Source organism: Homo sapiens, chromosome 8, assembly GCF_000001405.40.
Source record: "Homo sapiens chromosome 8, GRCh38.p14 Primary Assembly".
Lineage (NCBI taxonomy): Eukaryota > Metazoa > Chordata > Mammalia > Primates > Hominidae > Homo > Homo sapiens.
In genome coordinates this window covers 143,458,391-143,475,587 of record NC_000008.11, presented here as the reverse complement: position 1 = coordinate 143,475,587, position 17,197 = coordinate 143,458,391, and the positions used below count along the sequence as shown (strand labels likewise).

Here is a 17,197-nt window from a genome sequence, read left to right as displayed (position 1 = left end):
AGGTCCCTGGTGCTGAACCGCCTGCGTCCAGTTGCCAGCGGGGGTGGGAAAGCCCAACCGGGCTCCCCTTGGTGGCGGAGCAAAGGCTACCGCTGCATCGGAGGGGTCCTCTACAAAGTATCTGCCAACAAGCTCTCCAAGACCTCCGGCCAGCCCAGTGATGCGGGCAGCAGGCCCCTCCTGCGCACAGGTGAGAGGTGAGGGCGGGGGCGCTGGGAGATGACACCGACCGGCTAGCGTGTGGTGGGCATTGCAGGCCAGACCCCCTAACCTCCAACATGCTGTGGCTGCTCTGGGCCTTGGCTCACGCCCCTGTCTTGGGGAGGAGGTCAGGGGCCTCATGCTCCCAGGGAGCCAGTCCAAACAAGCACTTCCCAAATGGGTCACGTCCCATCCTGGGAGTTAATTTCACTCTTCCATACACCCGGCGCCTTCGTAGCCATCCCTAGTGAGACCAACAGGGCAGCCGGAGAATGGAGGGTGCCAGGAGGCCTTCCTCTGCCATCCCCCAGGAAGGGCCCTGGAGTGGCGCCCACCTCGCGTGGCTGAGCGGCCCCTGATTTTCTGTGGGGTGGGGGAGAGTTGCTCACAAGCACCATGTTTCGCTTTTGGAAAAAGGATGATGCCAGGTACGGCAAACACGCCCGGGCGAGCGCACACCTGGGGCCGCGGCGCCCGTAATCGCATTGGCGACGCCTCGACAACTGTGTCTGGAGGCAGCCGGCGCCGCCACCTTGCGCCCTCCCAGCCCAGGGAAACAGGCTCAGGAGAAGGAAATGCTTTGGATTCACTTATCCTACAAATTAACTAGAAAAATATTTTGGTTTCAGTCCAATTTTACCCCCTTTCTTGTCCATCAAAAAAAAAGAGGGAGATTGCAGGTGGTGTTGGGATTGCAGAGGCTGGGCCATGCTGGCTCCCCGACCCGCCTGGGACCTAGAGAGAGAACAGGTTCAGCCCCTGGAGGAGGTAGACTCCGACGGCAGGGTCTGCGGGGGTCAGAGGAGAGGCAGGAAGCGTACCTCCCTGGAAGCCAGCCTCACTGGCCGCCCTGCCTGGCTGTGTTCCTAGCATCCATCTCTGGGCTCCAGGGGCTTCTGGGCTGTTTCCTGGGCAGAGTCGCTGGGAGCAGCACGGGGGCCCTGGCACCTGCCCCACAGGGCTCTGAGCCACACTGTGGCTGGTCAGTGCCCATGACCATGCCTGTAGCCTGGTGGCTGGGGCTGGGGGGTCCTGGTGAACTGGGCAGGAATAAATCCCCACTCGCTGAGGATCTGGTGAGAAGCCCTGGGTCCCTTCCTCGGCACTGTGTCACCCCTGTGTGTGCCTCCCACTCACTGAGGATCTGGTGAGAAGCCCTGGGTCCCTTCCTGGGCACTGTGTCACCCCTGTGTGTGCCTCCGCTTCCCCACCCGTACCTTGAGGGACTGGGCTGTGTGATTTGTGCGTGTGGTCTCATCTCTGCTACACCCCGGGTGCTCAGTGCAGGAGCTGGCTCAGAACATGGGGGCCTTGGTGAGGCTTTGCCCCTGGGGGATGCTGCCGTGGGTTGGGGGATAGGCCTTCCTGTCACCCAGCAGGGCCTTCTCTGGTTACCTCTGATCCTCGGACTCTGGAGCTTGGTGGCCTGTGGGGCTACACACAGCTGTTTGTATCGTGGAGGGGAGGGGCCTCGGGCTTCTCTCCAGCAGTCATTTCCCTGAGTGAAGTATAAGCCCCTGGCCAGTCTCTGGCACAGCAGGTCCCAGGCGCCTGTGGCCGTCCACCAGCCACCAGCCATGTGAGCCAACAGGGACCCTGACCAGTGGAGCTCCCGGGGCCAGCAGCAGGTGCTCTGAGGACATCGTGCTTGACCCCCAGGGACAAAGCCATGAGGTGCCTCTCTGCTCATGCCGGGTGGTCCCACCTTCCCCTGGGCCTCCTTGGCAGAGGCCAAGCCCCACGTTGGCTGGCACTGTCCTGAGTGCACTGACACTGCAGGCACAGTCCTGGCACTGGCTTTCCTCTCTGGTCCTAGAGGCAGTGGGCAGAGCAGCCAGGCTGATCCCTCTGCCCAGGGAAGGGCACCCCGAGCCCTCACCTGCCTGCCTGGGTGGGAGGGTGCCCTGCATCTCCCATGGATGCTGCCTCTGACGTCCCTAGTGCAGGGAGAGGCGTGGGCTGAACACCAGTGAAGATTCCTGGGGCCCACAGGTGTAAATACGCAGACTCGTGTCCAGTCAGGTGGTCAGGGAGGCCTTTCTCATGAGCTGAAAACTGAGAGGGCCCAGAAGGGACAGAAGCAGCAAGAGCATCCTGAGGCCGCCATGCAGAGGCCTGGGCAGGAGTGGGAGGGGGCGTGAGGCATCGCAGGACCCTGTGCACAGCCAGCAGGGGGAGGAGATGGGTTGGGGGCAGGCGGGGTCTACCTGGCACCACTGCACCCACATTCAGAAAGCTCCCGGTAGTCACGATAGTAGTACTGACTGAGGTTGATAATTAAGTGGCCAAGACAGCAGCCATGGAGACCATGATGTCCTGACGTACGCGAGAGCCCCAGGCGGCCAGGATAGGCAGCAGAGGCTGCTCCTGGCAGTCAGTCTGCAGGCCCTGCCCTGCTCTGCGGAAGCTGGAGCCAGGGAGGGGATGCCTACTGCCCTTTCCAGAGCCAGAGCCCATCCCAGGGAGGACCCACCCACTCAGGGAGTGGCCCCCACTGCAGCAGCTGCATCCCACTCCCTGCACAGGGCCAAGGCTGGCCCCGCCTGTTCACCCAGGTCGCGGTGCGTCCTTGGGATTCTCCCTGCACCGTGCACCCGCGGGACCCACGGAGGGGCTTGTGGCATGGGTCCGTCTCCCCGCACCGGGGCCCTTGGGTCGTCTCAGCCCTCGCCGGGATCCTGTGGCCCACGTTTGTTGGGCTGGGTGGGCCTGTGTGGGGAGGTGCACCTGCCATCCCAGCTCTCCCATCCCTCAGTGTCCACAGAGACGCCTGTGGCAGGCAGCAGGTTTGCACTTGGCCCCCTCAGACACGGTGCCCACCACCCGGATGGCCCAGGGTCTGAGCTTTGGGGAGGAGGGAGTGCATAGCCCTGGCCCGCTCAGCAGTGGGGAGGAGAGGGAGGGGCTGCACACTCCTCCCTGGGAGGCTGTGGTGCTGCTGTGTCTCCCCGTCGGTGCCAAGTGCTGAGCTCCGCAGAATCTCGCCTTGCCATTTACACACATGGCAGAGCCCTGGCGGGCGCAGAGCCCCTGACGTCACCACACTGTGAACAGTCTATCCCGGCCACCCTTGCTGACTGGCCTCTGCCTCCGTTGGCCCTTCCCTTGGCCCAGAGCCATCAGAGAGCCAGTCTGGTTCCCCCAGCCCTTCTGGGGCATGTCTCACCCCTGCACCAGCAGCAACCCAGAACTCCTTCATTCAGCCTCAGCAACGCCAGCAAGGAGGGTCTGGCGCACAGAGGCTGGTGCCAGCCAGGGCAGGCAGGGGTCCAGGGGCCTCCTTGCTCCCACCCCTGCCCCTGGGGAGGCCCGCCTGCCATCGAGTAGGGCTATGGCCTCCGGTGTCCCGCTGGCCAGCCTTGGTGGCGACTGTGGCAGTCCTGGGGCTGTGCAGAGCCCAGTGAGGCCGCACTCGCCCTTTGGGTCGACAGGCGAGGCCACAGCTCCAGCTGCCTGGGCCACCACCGGCCCCGCCTCGCCATGAGGAAGGTAGATGGCTCCCAGCTGTGGGATACCGCTGACCAGCCCACTTAAGAGGAATAATAATTAAAGAAATAAATTTCCTCCCCTGGTGTCAGCAGAAATTTGACTTCAACAAGAAAGTGCAGCAGCCTTCTTGGAAGGGGTGGGGGTGGCTGTCCTGGCTGACCCCCTGGGCTCTGGGCCCCTGACGGCAGAGGACAGTATGGCTTCTACCCCCAGCTTCCCCAGTCCCTGAAGCCGAGCCCTCCCTCCTGGGCCCGCCTGCCACCTGAAGGCCTGAGCTCCAGGGTCCCTCCCCACAGAATCCTGTGTGGGCCCCCAGTGAGCATGGCCCATATGTGGCCACCATGAGCCTGATGGCTCCTGTGGTGGGGCAGAGGCCCCAGTCTCTGGCCACAGGGCTGGCCTTGGCTTGTTCTGTGTCCCCAAAGCCCCCAGCCACCTGTGGCCGTGGCCCTCCCTGCTGTGGGCCAGCTGCTGCGTGTTCCTGGCACGTCCGGCCTCTGCGCCTCCCCTGCTGGTCACCTGCCCACCCTCCCTGGGGTGACGAAGGCCCTGTCGGCTTGCCCCCGCCCCACACTGCCTCTTCTGGGGCACCCTCTGCCGCTGGCTGCCTTCTCCCAAGGGCACAGCCTCCATGTGCCAGACGGACGTGCCCTGGAGGGCCTGGTGGGCGCGCTGTGAGCAGACCAGGGCTTGGCGCAGCCCTGCCTAACTTCTTGGGAGAGTGCTGGCCTGGGAATTGGGGCTGCCTGCGTGCCCCGGTCATCGTGGATGTTGTCCCTTGGGCCAGGCAGCAGCTGTCCAGTGGGTGCTGGCCGGAGCAGGGCCTGGAGGTGCTGAGGAACCTCTGACTGCAAGGCCCCCACCCCGCTTGCCTTGCAGAGCCTGACATCCAGCGGTGCCCAGAGCTGGCACTGGGGCACCGAGCAGGGGGTGGGGCTGGTGGGAGCCGAGTCTATTCTGAGAAGATCCCGGGGAAGTGAAAGTTCTCTGGAATGCATGGCGCCTTCTGCTGTGGAGCTGCTGGGGGTTATTCAGTTGAACTTTTTAGCACTTCTCAGGCAGCCCTTGCTTCTTTTCCAGCCAGCTATTTTATGTGCATTTTTTAACACTGCAAAGCATTTGAAAAAGTGCCTCCTGTTCTTGTCAGAACTCCTGCCGTGAGCCTCACACTGGCATTTTTTTAAAGAGCACAAAGTGGAAAGGGAGGTAACCCCTCCTGCTGCACCCGGTCCTGCCAGGCGGGCACGTGATGCCAGTGTGTCCCTGCCTGGAGCAGATGGCGTCGCAGTGTCACTGGCAGCCTGGGCGAGAGACTGGGAACCAGCAGTGCCGACAGACCGCCGCATTGCCGCGTCCCTCACCCCACAGGCTGGCAGGTGTGAGGGCGTGCCCGTGCCGTCTGGACTGGGCCCTGCTGCCCACCCGGGGACAAGGGTCCCGGCCTGAGAACGGGGGCTGCCCTGAGCACCCCCGCGTTGGTCCCTCCGCACCAAGACCCTCATCACCCTCCCTTTGCCCCTGGCCCCCCACACGCCTCAGGTTTCTGCGTTCTTCAACGCCCCCTTTCCTGCCCCAGGTACCATGACTAGCTCCTGCTCCTGCCCCAGCCGGGCTCGCTGGCCACTCAGCTCTGGAGCTGCCCTTTTGAAACTTGAGACGGGCTGAGTGGGGACAGTAGGCAGGGCCCCTGAGGGTGAAGGGCAGCAGCACCACTGACCCTAGCTAGGGAGCACTGGGCTGGACGCAAAGCACAAAGCGAGGAGTGGGGGGGGCTCCAGCCTGGGGGTGCGAGGGAGCGGAAGCCTTGGGTCCTCGGGTGGGAGTCTGCGGCTGCTGGGCCATCTGGGAGAGTGAGGACGAGGCTGCTCTCTGGTGCTCAAGAGTGGGGCAGGTCTGGCTATTTGGGGCTGGGCGGCTTTGGGACATCCCTTTTTAAACCAGGATGGCTTTGTCACCACCTCAGGTCCCCAGAATTTCTGAGTGATGTCACCTCTGCCTCTTAACTGCAGTGTCCATTTCAGCATTTGCCCTGTAGGAAATTGGATCTGGTCTGGGAAGGATCATGCGCGTATTTGAGGAACCCGGGAAAGCCGCCCTCAGCAGGCTGGTCCTGCCCTGCCCACCCCGTGATCCTGGGTGACCTCTGTCTGTAAAAGGCAGGCAGGGCTGTGTCACCGGAGCAGACCCTCCTCCTCCAGATGGCACCCCCTCCCCGCCTCATCCCCTTGGCTCTCAGGCCTGGCAGCACTCGGCCATGTCCAGCCCCAAGGTCCATTTCCTTCCTGCCACCACCGCACTCCCAGGCCGCCCTCCCAGGCCGTGGTGTGCGGTTTCAGAAAGGCGGGGGTGGTGCTTATGCTTGGGGTTTTGAGGAGCATCTGATGAGGCACCTCTAAAATTTAGAGTAACAGACACTAGCCAGGATCTGCCAGCGCCAGCCCAGGGCTTCAGGGACAGGTGCCCTTCCCCCAGACCTCCACAGCTGCAGTGGGCAGCTGGGCAGATGCCTCCGCCAAGCGGGCTTTGCCCCCACACCTTCTCTGCTGCATGTCTTTAGTTTTATAGCCCTCTAAAAGTCAGAAGCCATTCTTGCTCCCAAAAGGCCAGACCATGTGTGCCCCATGGGCCATATTCACCCCCTGGTCTAAGTGACCCCGCGGGTCCTGCCAGCCCAGGCCCTGGCAGAGGGAGGTGCTGCTGTTAGCAGCTGTTCTGTTTACAGGGCAGCTTCCTGGGTGGCCAGGGCTGAGGAGAGAGCCAGGAGCAGTGTCCATAGGCCAGTCACTGCCTTGGCCCAGGGTGGGCACCCAGGGACATGAGGAAGCCAGCAGGGGGGTTCCAGCCAGCAAAGCGTGGCCCTGGGGAGCCTGGCCAGGGAGGCAGCAGGGACAGGCGGGCGTCTCCAGCCCACGTGGCCAAGCCCTCCGCGGGTGCTGCCTGGCTTTGCTGGCTCTGAGGGCAGGGACAGGAGCCCTGCCCGGACCCTGCCCTGGAGAGGAGCTAGACACAGGGCCCAGCAGCTCCCCACTCTCAGGTGCTGTGTCCCCAGAGGGGCCTGGCAGGGCCCAGGGCATCTGAACCACTGTGGGGAGGGGAGCTCTGGGCAGTTTCCTGGAGGGGAGGCTGTGCCTGAGCTGAGTGTTGGGACCCCTGAGGGCCTCGACTAAGGGGGTCAGCAGGGAAAGGGCGTGCGGGCCAGGCTGTGGCCTGCTATGACCCGTGCCTCTCTCCCCCACAGGCCGGCTGGATCCTGCAGGCAGCTGTAGCCGTTCCCTGGCCAGGTAATGCCTTTGGGCTGGGCAGTGGGTGGGCTCCCTGCTCGCCCTCAGGCTCACGCACCTCTCTCCCCGTCTGCAGCCGGGCAGTGCAGCGCAGCCTGGCCATCATCCGGCAGGCGCGGCAGCGCAGGGAGAAGAGGAAGGAGTACTGCATGTACTACAACCGCTTCGGCAGGTGCAACCGTGGCGAGCGCTGCCCCTACATCCACGATCCCGAGAAGGTGGCCGTGTGCACCAGGTGCCCTCCTGCCCTCGCTGTGGGCCTGGGGGAGGTTCTGTGCAGGGCCCTGCCCTTGGTCCCTGCCGGCCCTTCCTCATACCCGTTTCTCCTGGTGCTGCAGGTTTGTCCGGGGCACCTGCAAGAAAACGGATGGGACCTGCCCCTTCTCCCACCATGTGTCCAAGGAGAAGGTGAGTGCGGCGCTGGTGGCCCTGCTCCCGTGCACCTTTCTCCGGGGCCTCAGCCACCTGGCCTCCGGGCAGATGGTGCCCACAGCTTTCTCTGGGTTTGGGACATGCAGATCCCTGCCCTGGCGTCCTTAGAGTCTGCTGTACCGTCTCTACCCCATTGCAGGCTTTGCAGCTGGGCTTCCTCTTCCCCGGAAAGCAGCGCTGATAGGGTCTCTGCTCACCACGCACAGGGGTCTCTTTTCCCTTCTCCTGGCAGCACCAGGCCTCACCAGATCCCCAGGCCCCCCTTACACATGCCTAGGGGAAGGTGGTCCCACAGGTGCCCCTGTGGACCCAGGGCTGAGGCCTCAGGGCCTCTTCAGACTGGGGTTGGCAGGAGGGGGGAAGCTGTATGTGAGGGGGCTGGGTGGAGAGGCTGCCTGGGCAGAGGGCGGGAGGGAGGGGCTGGAGGGAGAACAGCTGGACTCCTGGCTCATGTGGTTGTCCCCGCGGCCTGAAACCCAACAGACTTGCTTTGAGCCAAGGTGGGTCCCCTGCTGGGAAGCAGCAAGAGAGCCCTGGGGCTGGGGGGGACATGTGTAGCTCCTGTGCCCCGGACTCAGCCACGGTGTGACCACAGCATGCGAGTGGAGTGAGGGCTGCCTTGGGTGAGGGAGGCGGTGTTGGGCAGGGGTGCTGCTGCCGCAACAGCTTTTCCCCTTGAGGAACTTGAAAAGAATCAGCATTTTTCTCCCTAATAGAGCTTCGGAACTCTGTTGTGAGCAATTTGGAAATTCACATCGAGTTTCGGGTTCATTAGCTCCCAGCTCCAAAGCCAGAGCACATTCCAAGCTGTCTAATGTGGACGCCCCGCACCAGTGCCCTGAATTAATGTTATTGTTATTTGTGTGGACGTGGCGGGGTGCAAACAAGGTTAATTGAAATGAGAATGCAGTTTCCTCTTGATAACAGCCCCGCTCTGACAGCCAAGAGGAGCTCCGTTTGCTGTAGAGTTGGCTTTATCATCCCTTTTTATTAGAGCTAATTTGGGCTCTATATCAAAAACCACATTAAGGGAATTGTCTACAGCCCACCACCGCCAGCCCCAAACGGCCCCCAGCCCCTCTCCCCTCTGCGGCTGCAGTTAAAAGACAATTAGAAATAAACTCCCGCTCGTTAAATCACCCTTTGTTTCTTTGCCTTCTCCCTCCCTCCCTCTCAGCCCTGGCCGCTGGCTCTCTGGACCCCTTCTTCCCTCCTTGGCCTTAGACAAGTTCCTTTCCCATCCCCAACCTTGCCCCAGAAAAGTGACTTTTTAAAGCCTCTGGGTCTGCCCAGATCCCCCAGGGCTCCTCAGGCCCCAGCAGCTCTGAGCAGGCTGGGAAGGGGAGGGGGACAAGGGTAGTGGGAGCAGGGAGGGTGGTCTGACCCAGGAGGGAGGAAGGCCCTGGGAGGGGAGCGGGAATAGCCTGGGGCAAGACTGGAGACCCTGGGGTGCTGGCAGGGGCTCTGTGGGGGCTCCATGCTGAGGCTGGACGGTGACATCCTTGTTCTGGACACCCAGGCAGCCCAGGAAGAGCCCGTGGTGGCCCATGAGGGGCAGGGAGATGTCTCCTGGAGATGGCAAGAGACCCCCTGCTTCCCTCCCTGGGTGGCCCTAGCCCAGCCATTGCTCCTTAGGCCTGAGGTTCCCCCAAATGGGAGGAAAGTTACATTTTTTCCCTCTCCCAGCCCAGTGGTGATAACAAGCACTGACTGTGGCCAGCGGCCCTGTGCTGGGGAGGAAGACGCTGCTGGACCCTTCCTGCTGACAGCCTTGGCCTCCACGGTGCTGGCCTGCAGCCAGTGCCACACCAGCCCTGCTTCCAGGTGGCTCCTGCCCACCTAGAGCCCAGGGACACTGCCTGTGGCCCACGGGTCAGGTGCCTGGAGAGGGAGAGCCCTCTGTTGGCTGCTGGCCCGTGGCTCGTCCTCCCACCTAGACACTGGTCCCCATGGCCTGAGAGGCTCCAAGGGCAGCCCTGGCCACAGGCTAGTGGTTGGGAGCCCTGGCTGCCATCTTGCCCTGGACGGTGGGCAGGCTCAGAACAGGTGAGGGACTCAGAGGAGGGCGCCCCTGAGGCTGAGCCACAGGGCTACAGGGCTGCTCCATGCCTCCTCTGGACAGAGCACGGCAGGGGTGTGGCTCACCTGGGGAGGCTGGGGCCCACTTCTGAGCAGCAGCTTCCCTGCCCCGCAGGTCGTGGTGGCTGCCCTTCCTGCCTGCTGGTGCCGCGTGTCCATTTCTCTCTCGGGCGGGGCCGTAGGAGGGTCCCCAGCCACCGTCTCTGGGCCCTGGAGGGTGGCTGCCTGCTGGCCCTCACTGCCGGCCCTCCCTGCAGATGCCGGTGTGCTCCTACTTCCTGAAGGGCATCTGCAGCAACAGCAACTGTCCCTATAGCCACGTGTACGTGTCCCGCAAGGCCGAGGTCTGCAGCGACTTCCTCAAAGGCTACTGCCCCCTGGGTGCAAAGGTGAGTGGTCTGTGGGGGCCCGAGTGGGCGGGGTTCCTGTGGCTTGTTGGTCCTCTGCTCACTCCTGGGTACCTGCCGTGGTGGCTGGATGACCCATCTGCAGCCCTGAGGTGGTCAGTGCCATCACGTCCACCTCACAGGTGACTCAGAGAGGTCCAGCAACTTTCCCGGGGTTGCACAGCACCAACACAGGGCGGGGTTTGAACCATGGGAAGGTGAGGCGCAGAGGACCTAGACTTCCAGGTGCAGCACTGGTAGCCCCAGGAGCTGGCCCCCCATGGTAGGGGTGTGGTGACTGGGCCGGAGCAGCTCCTGGGATGTTGCTGGGGGCGGCAGTGCAGTGAAGGGGATATTGGAGGCCAGGGAGCCCGCAGGGCTGCAGGATGTGGGGCCAGCAGCCTCCCCAGGAAGGCAGGGGGTGGACGGGACACTCCCACCCAGCCTGGGGCAGAGGGGTGGGCCAGGCAGAGCCAAGGGGGCCGCCTGAGCCGTGGCTGGCAAGGGTGGAGTGAGCTGGCGCTGGAGCTCATTGCGGGGCACCACTGCTGGGTGGAGAATTGGGGACCTGGGCTGTAGCTGATGGCTGCGGCTCCCCTCTTCCTAGGGGCATGACTGACTCCTGTGTTGCAGAGGCACTCACAGGCTCACCTGTCTGGGAAGTTCCCGGCAGTGCAGCCAGCTCCTCCCCTCTGCCTCACCTGCCCTCCTGGGCTTCAGCAGGACTCCCCGCCACAAGCAGCGTGGCCTCAGCATCTCCAGTGGGCCTGGTCCCGGGTACAAGCCCCCTCTACCCCAGCCTCTCACGCCTGTTTCTCTCCCCGCCCTGGGGGCTCCTGCACCTGGCCTAAGGCTTGTGGCTGAGGCTGGGGGCCTCCTGGCTCAGGCTGGGGAGGGGCCAGAGCTGGGGGACCTGGAGATGCTCCTTGTCCCTGGCATCTTGGGAGGGAGCCCCGGGGCCTGCAGCACGGCTCACTGCCACCTGGACCTCACACTTGTGTTGGCGCTGCCTCAGGGTCTGCAGCCCCCGTGAAGCCGAGAACACCAGGCACCCCAGGAACCCTTTCTCAGCCCACCCGCAAGGACACCGGGCCCGAAGCTCTGGCGGCTCTCCTGCCCCTCCCTTGCTGGGTTCACCTGTGGGGTCCTGTAGAAGCTGGGCCACGCACTCCTTCCTGTGCACAGCGTTCTGTGGTGGGCCGGGCCCTTCCCAAGCATCCTCTCCCTCATCCTCAGTCCTCACACCCACTTCCCAGGAGGAGTCAGCCTGCAGCCCCTGCTGCCGGGCCAAGGGTTGGCCAGGCCGGGCTCCCCAACCTGAAACCTGGCAGGCAATCCCCTCCGGGGAGGTAGGGCCTGGCTGGGGCAGCCCCAGACCCTGTGGGGGCAGTGGCAGGATCCCCATGGAGGCCATGGCTGATTATTGTAAAATGTTTCGATTTAAATGAAAATATCAAAGTGATATTTAGGTCCTGCTTCTATTAGTGGAAGTGCTTACTGCTGCCTTTCCGTGTGTCCGCGCCGCGGCGCCCGCATGATGGATAGCAGCTTGTAATTATATATGGGAAAGCGCTGAGCCGGCCAGATCCAGCGGGGACAGGCGGCAGCCCGGGCCTGCGAGGGTTAATTTTATTCTCTAAATAATGTGAAAAGTGCTGAATCGTCACCTTGCGCCTGAAGTAGAAGTCCTCAAATGGGCCCCAGAGAGTTTATAATATTCCACTGAATCAAGTGAAATTGTTAACCTTGCTTCATAAAGCGATGGCTTGTTAAAGAGCCACATTCCCTTTCCTTGTGAATAATTTAGGCTGGGAGTAAATCTCCGCTCCTTCCCCTTTTGGGGGGCCACGGCTGTGGCTCAGGGGTCAACCTCTGCCAGATGCCGCCTGCCCTCCTAGATATCAGGACGGGGATGACTTCAGACTGCCTGTTTGTACACACCTGCGGGGTCTGCCACGTCCTGCCCAGACCCGGAGACGCAGAGTCCTCCCCAGTAGGCGTCCCTGTCCTGGTGCAGCGCTGTTTTCCTCCCTTGCCTCAGGCGCTCGCTCCATCCTTGTCAAAGGGATCTCCCCGGCTGATACGTCTTGCTGGGGGGAGACTCTGAGACTAGAAAACTCCACCTTCTCCCCTTAGTCTTAATAGCCAGCTGTGTCTGTCTGCTGTCAAATTCTGATCCGCGGCCGGCGTCCTTGAACGGAAGAGTTTTCCCTCCTCCGTGCTCACCGCTCGCCTGTTTGTCCACGGGTGTGTCCGGCTGTGTCCATTGCCGTCCCCTTTTAATATGCTGCCCTGCCAGGGCTCCTGCCCTTATGATGTGCCTGACAGTTTCTGCACCCTTGCTTGCTTTCTGGCACCCAGATGCTCCCAGCACCCGGCGGCTCTGGGACAGCCGCTCCTGGCTCCTTATGGGTGTGTTTAAGACTCAGGGTCTGGGCCGGGCGCGGTGGCTCACACCTGTAATCCCAACACTTTGGGAGGCCGAGGCAGGTGGATCACCTGAGGTCAGGAGTTCAAAACCAGCTTGGCCAACATGGTGAAACCCCATCTCTACTAAAAATACGAAAAGTTAGCCGGTTGTGGCGGCAAATGCCTGTAATCCCAGCTACTCGGGAGGCTGAGGCAGGAGAATTGCTGGAACCCGGGAGGTGGAGGTTGTGGTGAGCTGAGATTGCGCCACTGCACTCCAGCCTACGTGACAAGAGTGAGACTCTGTCTCAAAAAAAAAAAAAGAGACTCAGGGTCTGGGCGCTGCTCCTGGTGGCTCTAGGTGGGACAGCTGCTCCTGCAGGGCGCCCTGGTTCCTTCTGGGTGTGTTTAGGACTCAGGGTCTGGGCGCTGCGTGTGCTTGTTGCAGCTAGGGTGTTGGCTGCTGCCAGCGCCCCCAGTGCACAGGGCTGGGGAGCATCGTGTGCACGTGTGCAGGGGTGACAGTGACTCCATCCCCACCTCTGCATTGAGAGCTCCTGCACACCTTGGCCCTCCTGCATCTGCAGTGCCTGCTCCGTGAGCCTCCGCGCTGCCGTTTTCCCCACACCCTGTGTGTGGTTGGTGCCTGTCTGCAGGGAGCTGTCGGGAGAGGGAAGGCCCTGGCTGAGCCTTGGGTTTCAGCTCCCCAAGTGCGAGCTGAGACCTGAGTCACCTGGGATTCCCCTCACGCACACCCTGCCTTCATCCTCCAGGCTTGCAAGGGCTCCTGTGTCCTCTGGACAGCGCCTGTCTTGGTTTTGTTCACATACAGCGCTTCTCTGTTGGTGCCTTGCTTTCGCCAGTGCTGCCCTTTGTTAGGCCGAATCCTTCGTCCTTTATGAGGCAAGGTCCTGACATCCTTTGCCCTGTGATTTGTGCTCGGGGTCTTGTTTAGGACCAGTCTCCACCCATGGTCACAGAGTGCCTCCTGCATTGCCTGATGCTGGCTCAAGAGGCAGCTGTGGGTGTCGCTTGTCCCTGCACGGTTACTTCCTCCTCTGGCCTCAGTCTCCTTTTATATACAGTCGGGATAACGGCACTGCCTATCTCAGAGGGTCGTGGCGACTCTTCAGGGGGCCACAGTGGGCCTGGCAGTGTCCTGGGTGGCCCTGGCACAGGGAGGCCTCCCTACAAGTCGGCTGCCGTTTGCTGTTCTTCATTTGCGTGTTGTGTGAGGTGGGGCCTCACTTAGTTTTTCTTCATGTCGTGGGTGCTTTCCCTCAACGGTGATCTAACCCTTTGATCTGTGGTGTCAGCTTTAAAAAAAAAAAAAAAGCAGCTTAACTGAAGTACAGTTTCCCTCCCACACAATTCCTCTGCTCTAGGTGTATGGTTCTGTGGGTTTGAGTAAACTTAGAGTGGTACAGCTGCACCACAGCGCAGCTTTCAGTTGTTTTCATCGCCCCCCAGAATTCCCTCACTCTTTTCATCATCAGTCCCGGCCCCTAACACTCATCCACTTCTGTCTCGGTAAGTTTCTTCTGTGGGCCTTTCGTGTTGCTGGAATCATACAGTACATGGTTGTTTGGCATCTTTGATTTTGCATCATGTTTGGAGGTCTGTCCTGCAGCACCTCAGCGCTGCACCCGTTTTTATTACAGAGTCAAGCCGCTGCAGAGGCTCTCCACACTTTCTTTGTCCGTTCGGGTGGTTGCCAGTTGGGGGCTGTCGTGAATAATACTGCCTCGAATGTCCGCGCTCCAGCCTTTGTGTGGCCGATGCTTTTGCTTCTCTTGGGTAGACACCTAGGAGTGGAATTGCAGGGCCATAGGGTCACTGCAGGGCTACAGGGTCACTCTAGGTTAACAGCCTCCTGTTTTCTAAAACGGCTTCACTGTTTGACACTCCTGCCGGCAGCGAGCAAGGCTTTCGTCTTGCTTACTTCCTCGCTAGCTCTGGGTATCTGCCTTTCTGGCACACCCGTTCTGGTGGGCGTGGCGTGCCGTATCCCTGGGGTTTTGGTTTGCATTTCCCTGATGGCCTGGATGCGCAGAGCACCTGGGTGCTTATGGGCCATTCCTATCTTTTTTTGAAAAACAGCTTTGTTGAGATATGATTCACGTACCACATAATTCACCCATTTTAGTGTACAATTCAATAGTTTTTGGTATATACTGTGTTACTTTTTAATTGTGGTAAAATATATATAACATAAATTTTGACCATTTTTAAGCGTCAAAATGGCACTTAGTTCAATAGCTAACTACATTCACAACACCGTGGAAACATTCCAAAATGTTTTCCTCACTCCTGACAGAAACACTGAGTATTCAGCAATGACTCTCCACTCCCCGCTTCCCAAACCCTAGTTAGACACCTAACTAGTTAGTGAAGGCGCCTCCTCTAGCTATGTCCTCTAAGTGGAATCGTACATTCTGTCCTTTGGTGTCTGGCGTCTTTCACGCAGCGTAATGTTTCCAGGGTCTAGCTGTGTCCCGTCAGTGGAATCATCCAGCATCTGTCCTTTGGTGTCTGGCATCTTTCACCCGGCATAATGTTTCCAGGGTTCACACGTGTAGCAGCACCTCATTCCTTTCTTATGGTAGAGTAACATTCCGTTGTGTGTGCACTGCGTTTTGTTAGTTCCTTCGTGTGCTGGTGGTTATGTGGCTACTGTGACTGGTGCTGTAGTGATTCCTGACAGCCAGGTATCTGTTTGAGCCCCGCTTTCACTTCCTTTGGGTGTATATTGAGGAGTGGAATTGCTGGAGTCTGAGTAATTCTGTGTTTAGCTTTCTGAGGAATCGGCAAGTGTTTTCTGTTGTGGCTGAACCACTTTACGTTCCCAGCAACGGCGCACGGGTTCCCGTTTCTCCACACCCTCCCCACCACTTGTTGTGGTTGAATTTCTTTATTCTAACTTTTTTTGTGTGTGGATTCTTTAGGGTTTTCTTACATATAAGATCATGTCATCAGCAAACAGATAATTTTACTTCTTCCTTTTCAATTGGGATGCCTTTTATTTATTTATTTATTTATTTATTTATTTATTTATTTATTTTTGAGACATAGTCTCACTCTGTCGCCCAGGCTGGAGTGCAATGGCATGATCTCGGCTCACTGCAACTTCCGCCTCCCGGGTTCGAGTGATTCTCCTGCCTCAGCCTCCCAAGTAGCTGGGACTACAGGTGCATGTGCCACCAAACCCAGCTAATTTTTGTGTTTTTAGTAGAGACAGGGTCACACCATGGGGCCAGGCTGGTCTCAAACTCGTGACCTCAGATGATCCGCCTGCCTTGGCCTCCCAAAGTGCTGGGATTATAGGTGTGAGCCACCACGCCCGGCCTCTGGCTAGAACTTTTAATACTATATTGAATTAAAATGGCAACTGTGGGCATCCTTGTCTTTTTCCTCATCTTAGAAGAAAAGCTTTCATTTTTCACCATTGAATATGACGTAAGCTATGGGCTTTTATGTATAGAGTTTACCACACTGAGGAAGTTGCCTTCTATCCTATTTATTAGGTTTTTGGTTTTTTTTAAACATGAAATGGTGTTGAATTTTGTCAGGCCTTTTTGTAGATCAATTGAAATGATCTTGTGGTCTTTTTCCTTTATTCTATTAAGGTGGTCAGCTCATGACTCTGACCACATTGAATCACAGTCAGTCACAATCTCATTAATTGATTTTTGTGTATGAAACCATCCTTGCATCTGGGAGTAATTGGTTATGATGTGTAATCCTTTTTTTGGTTTGTTTTTGAAATAGAGTTTTGCTCTTGTTGCCCAGGCTGGAGTGCACTGGTACGATCTCAGCTCACTGTAAACTCCGCCTCCCAGGTTGGAGCAATTCTCCTGCCTCAGCCTCATGAGTAGCTGGGATTTCAGGCACGCGCTGCCAGGCCCAGCTAATTTTTGTAGTTTTAGTAGAGACGCGGGTTTCGCCATGTTGGTGAGGCTAGTCTCAAACTCCTGACCTCAGGTGATCAGCCCGCCTTGGCCTCCCAAAGTGCTGGGATTATAGGCGTGAGCCATTGCACCTGGCCCTTGATGTGTAATCCTTTTAATGTGTTGCTGAATGTTATGCTGAGGATTTTTGCATCAATATTCATAAAATATATTGGTTGGTAGTTTTCTTTTAGTGTCTTTGTCTGGTTTTGTTATCGGGGTACTACTGGCCTCACAGAGTGAATTAGGAAATGTTTCCTTCTCTTAAACATTTTGTAAGAGTTTGAGAAGAATTGGTGTTGATTCTTCTTTTAAATGTTTTAGTAGAATTCACCAGTGAAGCCGTCTGGTCCTGTGCTTTTCTGTCTTTTTTCTTTTCTTTCTTTCTTTTTCTTTTTTTTTTTCTTGAAGAACAAGGTCTCGCTATATTGCCCAGGCAAGTCTCGAACTCCTGGGCTCAAGTGATCCTCCCACCTCTGCCTCCCTAAATGCTGGGGTTACAGGCATGAGCCACTGCGCCCAGCTGTGTCCTGGGCTCAAGTGATCCTCCCACCTCTGCCTCCCTAAATGCTGGGGTTACAGGCGTGAGCCGCTGCGCCCAGCTGTGTCCTGGGCTCAAGTGATCCTCCCACCTCTGCCTCCCTAAATGCTGGGGTTACAGGCGTGAGCCACTGCGCCCAGCTGTGTCCTGGGCTCAAGTGATCCTCCCACCTCTGCCTCCCTAAATGCTGGGGTTACAGGCGTGAGCCACTGCGCCCAGCTGTGTCCTGGGCTCAAGTGATCCTCCCACCTCTGCCTCCCTAAATGCTGGGGTTACAGGCGTGAGCCACTGCACCCAGCTGTATCCTGGGCTCAAGTGATCCTCCCACCTCTGCCTCCCTAAATACTGGGGTTACAGGCGTGAGCCACTGCGCCCAGCTGTGTCCTGGGCTCAAGTGATCCTCCCACCTCTGCCTCCCTAAATGCTGGAGTT

At 59.1% G+C, this 17,197-nt stretch overlaps 1 protein-coding gene across 2 annotated transcripts in view, besides 9 other annotated features; it reads left to right on the top strand.

Annotated features, from left to right (window-relative positions):
- Positions 1-17,197, top strand: part of ZC3H3 (zinc finger CCCH-type containing 3) — a 103,789-nt gene that overhangs the window by 65,860 nt on the left and 20,732 nt on the right. For both annotated transcript variants that reach the window (NM_015117.3, XM_011516943.3), the window contains exons 5-9: positions 3-190; positions 6,929-6,971; positions 7,048-7,206; positions 7,310-7,379; positions 9,740-9,871. In NM_015117.3, coding sequence (NP_055932.2) covers positions 3-190; positions 6,929-6,971; positions 7,048-7,206; positions 7,310-7,379; positions 9,740-9,871 — 592 coding nt within the window. The remainder of the gene's footprint in view (positions 1-2; positions 191-6,928; positions 6,972-7,047; positions 7,207-7,309; positions 7,380-9,739; positions 9,872-17,197) is intronic.
- Positions 4,310-5,011: an enhancer, noted in NCBI's record as "H3K27ac-H3K4me1 hESC enhancer chr8:144552747-144553448 (GRCh37/hg19 assembly coordinates)". NCBI's record gives its function as "activates a minimal SCP1, AML or CMV promoter by ChIP-STARR-seq in naive and primed H9 embryonic stem cells {active_cell/tissue: H9 hESC(naive and primed)}" and the evidence as "EXISTENCE:reporter gene assay evidence [ECO:0000049][PMID:30033119]".
- Positions 6,444-7,350: an enhancer, noted in NCBI's record as "H3K27ac-H3K4me1 hESC enhancer chr8:144550408-144551314 (GRCh37/hg19 assembly coordinates)". NCBI's record gives its function as "activates a minimal SCP1, AML or CMV promoter by ChIP-STARR-seq in primed H9 embryonic stem cells {active_cell/tissue: H9 hESC(primed)}" and the evidence as "EXISTENCE:reporter gene assay evidence [ECO:0000049][PMID:30033119]".
- Positions 9,166-10,074: an enhancer, noted in NCBI's record as "H3K27ac-H3K4me1 hESC enhancer chr8:144547684-144548592 (GRCh37/hg19 assembly coordinates)". NCBI's record gives its function as "activates a minimal SCP1, AML or CMV promoter by ChIP-STARR-seq in naive H9 embryonic stem cells {active_cell/tissue: H9 hESC(naive)}" and the evidence as "EXISTENCE:reporter gene assay evidence [ECO:0000049][PMID:30033119]".
- Positions 12,206-12,918: an enhancer, noted in NCBI's record as "H3K4me1 hESC enhancer chr8:144544840-144545552 (GRCh37/hg19 assembly coordinates)". NCBI's record gives its function as "activates a minimal SCP1, AML or CMV promoter by ChIP-STARR-seq in primed H9 embryonic stem cells {active_cell/tissue: H9 hESC(primed)}" and the evidence as "EXISTENCE:reporter gene assay evidence [ECO:0000049][PMID:30033119]".
- Positions 12,919-13,632: an enhancer, noted in NCBI's record as "H3K4me1 hESC enhancer chr8:144544126-144544839 (GRCh37/hg19 assembly coordinates)". NCBI's record gives its function as "activates a minimal SCP1, AML or CMV promoter by ChIP-STARR-seq in primed H9 embryonic stem cells {active_cell/tissue: H9 hESC(primed)}" and the evidence as "EXISTENCE:reporter gene assay evidence [ECO:0000049][PMID:30033119]".
- Positions 12,919-13,705: a biological region, named in NCBI's record as "H3K4me1 hESC enhancer GRCh37_chr8:144544126-144544839".
- Positions 12,976-13,145: an enhancer, noted in NCBI's record as "active region_28074". NCBI's record gives its function as "activates an Ori minimal core promoter by ATAC-STARR-seq in GM12878 lymphoblastoid cells {active_cell/tissue: GM12878}" and the evidence as "EXISTENCE:reporter gene assay evidence [ECO:0000049][PMID:35858748]".
- Positions 13,166-13,235: an enhancer, noted in NCBI's record as "active region_28073". NCBI's record gives its function as "activates an Ori minimal core promoter by ATAC-STARR-seq in GM12878 lymphoblastoid cells {active_cell/tissue: GM12878}" and the evidence as "EXISTENCE:reporter gene assay evidence [ECO:0000049][PMID:35858748]".
- Positions 13,596-13,705: an enhancer, noted in NCBI's record as "active region_28072". NCBI's record gives its function as "activates an Ori minimal core promoter by ATAC-STARR-seq in GM12878 lymphoblastoid cells {active_cell/tissue: GM12878}" and the evidence as "EXISTENCE:reporter gene assay evidence [ECO:0000049][PMID:35858748]".